General features: G+C 37.4%; 1 annotated feature.

The window, feature by feature from the left end:
* Positions 884–1,101: a silencer, noted in NCBI's record as "fragment chr10:64684239-64684456 (GRCh37/hg19 assembly coordinates)". NCBI's record gives its function as "represses an EF-1alpha promoter that drives an FKBP-Casp9 reporter gene in an ReSE screen in phorbol 12-myristate 13-acetate-treated (for megakaryocytic differentiation) K562 erythroleukemia cells {active_cell/tissue: K562(+PMA)}" and the evidence as "EXISTENCE:reporter gene assay evidence [ECO:0000049][PMID:32094911]".

The following is a 5,672-nucleotide window of genomic DNA, read 5'->3' as shown; positions in this document are numbered from 1 at the left end:
TCTCTAGGGTAGATAGTTTTTATGCTAATTTCATGCACCTAAATGTAGACAATTATTCTAGGGCATGTGAATGATCCATTCACTGAATGAAGAAAAATTATTCCAAATGATTATTGATGAGTTAATCAAGATAACCATGTAAAGTTTTTTTATCCATTAGTGGTAACATCTACAGTATTTCACAATCATCATAATAAAAGAGCCAAATGCTAATGGGCAAGGTAATCAGACTTAATGAAGAACAGTGAAAAATCTGCTTTTAAAAATAGTTTACAGTTTTCATAATCACTGAAGTGGTCAGTGAGTCCCAAGATTCTTCATATTTCATAATGTGTGTTTGCAAATTTTTTTCATCACTTAAAAAATAGTCAGATTTTTCTAATGTAAAAAAAGAACAGAAATAAAGGGAGAGGGATTCATCTGAAAAAATAAATACATATTTAAAAAGCTATTCATATTGCAATGGTGATTTAAAATGGGGGAATCTCTATGCATTTAAAAATACACAACTACTTTTTTAATGTTTTTTCTCCCCTCTTTATCCTTTTACTCAAATTTGGTAATTTTATCAATACAAGCTCAGACAAGTCTGGACTCTCAATTTTATTATAATTATTCATTATATATTGTGGTTTAAATTTGTATTGATTTATTGATTCTGTACCCCAATGTATTGCCGTGATGACATGAGGGCCTGCCATTCACCCTCTTTTGAGAAAAGCTATATAAAGTGTTTCCTTATTAATACATCACTGTATTTTGTATCATGTGGTCTCATTACCCTGGCATTTTAAGGTAGGCCCAGCTGGGGCTGCACCCTCCATGGAGCCAGTGGGAACCCCGCCCCTTCTGAGTTGGGGCGGGAGCTCCCCAGGCGCTGCTGCGGCCGCCCAAAGCCCTTTCGCAGACCCAGGCCTCCTGCTCTACGGAGCAGGCAGGCGCTCCGCCCTCCTGGGCGGGGCCACAGCCACCCAAACTGCTGCTGTGGATCCGAGCCTCCCTGTTCCCTTGGAGTTGGGCCCAGAAGCAGGCAAGATCTGCCCTCCCAGGTGCAGCTGCAGCCTCCTGAACCGCGGCTGCAGACCTGGGCCTCCGGCTCCACGGAGCAGGCAGGAGCCAGGACAAGCAGGAACCCCACCCCTTCTGAGTTGGCGGGGCGGGAACTCCCCGGGGCACCTGAGGCCGCCCTCCTAGGTGCAGGACCTGGGCATCTCTGCGACCTGCATCCTTGGGGACAGGAAGCATCAATTAAGCAGAACCATTCTTACTCTATACTCTTAAAATTAGTTGTGGGTTAAATGAAAAAGTCAACTAGAACAACAAAAAAGGTAACTATGAGGTAATGGTGTGTTACTTAGCTTGATTGTGGTAATCATTTCACAATGTAAGTGTAAATCACAGCATCACATTTACACCTTTAATATGTACAATTTTTATGTATCAATTATACCTCAGTAAAGCTGAAAAAAGTGAGAAATAATAACAATACATGCATGTACTGCTTTAGCCATTTTAAAATATTTTTAAATCTTAAATTTTGGGGGGTACATAGTAGGTGTATGTATTTATGGGGTACATGAGATATTTTGATACAGTCATACACTAATAATCACATCAGGGTAAGTGGGGTATTCATCACCTCAGGCATTTATCCTTTCTTTGTGTTAGAATCAATCCAATTATACTAGTATTTTAAAATAATAATAAATTATTGTTGACTGTAGTCACCCTGTTGTGCTATCAAATACTAGATCTTATTCTTTCTATCTTTTCTTACCCATTAACCATCCACACTCCCCCTGCATTGCCTACTACTTTTCCCAGCCTCTGGTAACCATCATTCTGTTCTCTCTGTAAGTTAAATTGTTTCACTTTTTAGCTCTCACAGGTAAGTAAGAACTTGCAATGTTTGTCTTTCTGTGCCTGGCTTATTTCACTTAACTTAATGACCTCTGGTTCCATCCATATTGTTGCAAATGACAGGAACTCATTCTTTTTTATGGCTGAATAGTATTCCAGTGTGTATATGTACCACATTTTCTTTATCTATTTGTCTGTTGATGGACACGTAGGTTGCTTCCAAATCTTGGCTGTTAATAGTGCTGATATAAACATGGGAGTGCAGATATCTCTTCAATATTCTGATTTCCATTCTTTTGGGTATATACCTAGCAGTGGGATTGCTGGATCATATGGTAGCTCTATTTTTAGTTTTTTGAGGAGCATCCAAACTGTTCCCCATAGTGGTTGTACTAATTTACATTCCCACTGTGTATAGGGTACCCTTTTCTCAGCATCCTTGCCAGCATTTGTTACTGCCTGTCTTTTAGATAAAAGCCATTTTAACGGGGTGAGATGATGTTTCATTATAGTTTTGATTTGCATTTCTCTGATGATCAGTGATGTTGAGCACATTTTCATATGCCTGGTTACCATTTGTTTGTCTTCTTTTGAGAAATGTCTATTCAAATCTTTTGTCCATTTGAAAATCAGACTAGATTTTTTTCCTATAGTCATTTGAGTTCCTCACATATTCTGGTTATTAATCCCTTGTCAGATAGTTGTGCAAGTATTTTCTCCCACTCTGGTTGTCTCTTCATTTTGTTGATTGTTTCCTTTGCTGTGCAAGAGCTTTTTAGCTTGATGTGATTAGCCAATCTTTTAGGCAGAGCCATAGCCTCATTGACGAAAAGAAATACTTTACAGAGTTTGTAAAGTTTACAAACTGTGAAATATTTAAAGAGGTTTATTCTGAGCCAAATATGAGTGACTATGGCCTGAGGCATAGTCTCAAGAGGTACTGAGAATGTGTGTCTGAGGTGGTTGGGTTACAGCTTGCCTTTATACATTTTAGCAAGACATAAGACATCAATCCACTCATGTGAGATATACATTGGTTCAGTCTGGAAAGGTGGGAGAACTGGAAGTGGGGGTGAGGGGACTATCAGATCATTGGTGAATTCAAAGGTTTTCTGATTGGCAGTTGGTTGAAGCTATTATCTGAAGACTTGGAATCAGTAGAAAAGAGTGTCTGGGTCAAGATAAGGGGTTGCCAAGACCAATGTTCTTATGAAGTCTCATAGGTGGCTGCCTTTAGAGACAATAGATAGGAAATGTTTCCTATTCATATCTTTAAAAGGTGCTAGACCTCTTCAGGACTGGGAGGTCCTGGAAGGGGAGAGATCTGTATGTTAATATGGACTCTTTATAGTTGCAAATTTCCCCCACAAAACCCAGCTTTGCAGAACCATTTTAAAATATGGCAAAGGAACATATTTTGGGGTAAAATATTTTGATTTCGTTCTTTATTCATCATATGATATTATGCCAGAGTCAGGTTGGAAAGTAAGCCAAGTAGGGTTAAATAAAACCCACCTGATGATATTTTTTTGGCTTGTAGAGCATGGCTCCCCAGATTCCTTAGATAGGAATTTGGGCAAGAGAGAAAAAGGGTGAGGATTTAATTCTCAGCCTTACTTTTGCCTATGCATCTTTGCCTACAGAGTTTCCTGTCATCTTTCTTGGTCAAACCACACTTGACAATACTTCATCTACTTTTCAAGTTTCATTATCTTTTTTTTTTTTTTTTTTTTTTTGAGACAGAGTCTCACTCTGTTGCCCAGGCTGGAGTGCAATGGTGTGATCTTGGCTCACTGCAACCTCTGCCTCCCGGGTTCAAGAAATTCTCCTGCCTCAGCCTCCTGAGTAGTTGGGATTACAGGTGCCCAACACGACACCTGGCTAATTTTTGTATTTTTTTAGTAGAGACAGGGTTTCACCATGTTGGTCAGGCTGGCCTCGAACTCGTGACCTCAGGTGATCACCCACCTCGGCCTTCCAAAGTGCTGGGATTACAGGCGTGAGCCACTGTGCCTGGCCTCATTATCTTTAAAGCAGATTATTTAAGGAATTTAAAGACATTTACAAAGCTGATGAATAAAGAACTTTTCTACATTCTGTAATTTTATGAAAAACTTCTAAAATTTTACACTTAACCTACACATATTATATTCAAAGGCAATTCAAACACTTGACTAAGTTTTTATAGAAACAATTCTCTTCTTGCACTCATCTTACACTTATATTGGTTTATATAATACTTGATTAAATTACATAAGTAAAGGAACACATAGAACCAGCATAAATACATTTGGAAACAAGTGCAACTGGCTCTTGGTAAGCAGAAAACTTAATTGTAATTGCCTGCTGCAGAGGTGTCTATAGTTGCAAATTTCCAGCATGTTTTGGCCATCAATCAGTGTGTTTTGTAGAGGAAATGGAGAGCATTGGTTTTTCTGGTAAATTGGTTAAATAGCATTTGATTAAGAAAACTTGCACTGTACTTTATTCTAGATATATGAAATAGGGTTTTAGAAAGTTAAAGTTAAATGGATACTGGTGTTTAAATATTTACTTTACAAAGTATGCTCCCTTTTAAGGCATCAAGCCTGTTTTGAATGTTAAATTTCAGGATATGTATTATTTTTCCACTAAGCACAAAGCAGTGGTAACAGCCAAGCTGGATAGAAAGATTTCTTCCTTGTGGCTTAACTACAATTATGTTTTATTATGTTAAATATACTTACATCTTATGCAATCCTGTGCAGTCAAATCTCAGAAGTGAAAGAATGGGAGAAAGCTAATCTGAGGTTGTAAAATAAATGGATTTTGAAAGCAAAGAAATGCTGTTTTAGGGATAGCCTATACTAACCTTAAATTTTTTTTTTCTAATAGAGAACCTCATTGATATGATGGTAATGTATCAATTGAATAAGAAGTATGTCCTATAGTTAACCATGCTCAATAAGTATTTACCATATGAATGATTGAAGTATGTGGCTGCTTTAAGAACGTTAAAATTATTTTAAAATCTCCATTGCTACAATGTTTTAAATGTTAGTTTTCTTAGTAAATTATTACATTTCTTAAAAATGGTTTCCTGGAACAATGGTTTCAGAGTGTGGCACCTGGTATATTGTTTTCCTGAAAAGCACATTGTAACATGTGGTGGAATGATTAAGAGCATGGATTCTGGAGTCAAACTGAGTTTATATTCCAGTTCTACCACTTACTAGTTTTAAATTTTGGACAAACTAGTTTGACTTCAGTTTTCTCATCTAAAAGTGGGTATAATAACAATTCCTGCCTCATAGAGTTGTTATGAGCATTAAATGTAGACGATAATATGTGTTAATAATAGATTAACTATTAATCCACTGAATTGTCTTTTCATCTTTGTCAAAAGTTAGTTTCCCATATTTGTGTGAGTCTATTTCTAGACTGTCAATTATTTTCTACTGATGTAGGTGTCTCTGTTTATGCTAATATCACACTGTCTTGATAACTAGCTTTTTAGGAAGTCTTGAAATTAGGTACTGGTCTGTCTTGGTAACGTTCAATGTGCACTTGAAAAGAATGTGTGTCCTCTGTAAATGGAGTGTTCTAAGAATGTCATTTATGTTAAGTTGGTTGACATTGTCAAGTCTTGCAAATTAGGGGCCTAGGGGTCTGCAAATGTTTTCTATAAAGGGCCAGATACTAAATATTTTCAGTTTTGTGCTATACATTCTGTCGCAACTACGCCAATCTGCAGCTGTAGCCAAACAATGCATAAATGGGTGTGACCATATTTGACTCACAATGAGCTGGATTTGGACCAAAGGTATGTAGTT

The sequence above is a fragment of the Homo sapiens genome, chromosome 10 (genome assembly GCF_000001405.40).
Source record: "Homo sapiens chromosome 10, GRCh38.p14 Primary Assembly".
In the NCBI taxonomy this organism is placed as follows: domain Eukaryota; kingdom Metazoa; phylum Chordata; class Mammalia; order Primates; family Hominidae; genus Homo; species Homo sapiens.
The sequence above is the reverse complement of the archived record's forward strand: the minus strand, read 5'-3'. Positions and strand labels throughout refer to the sequence as shown.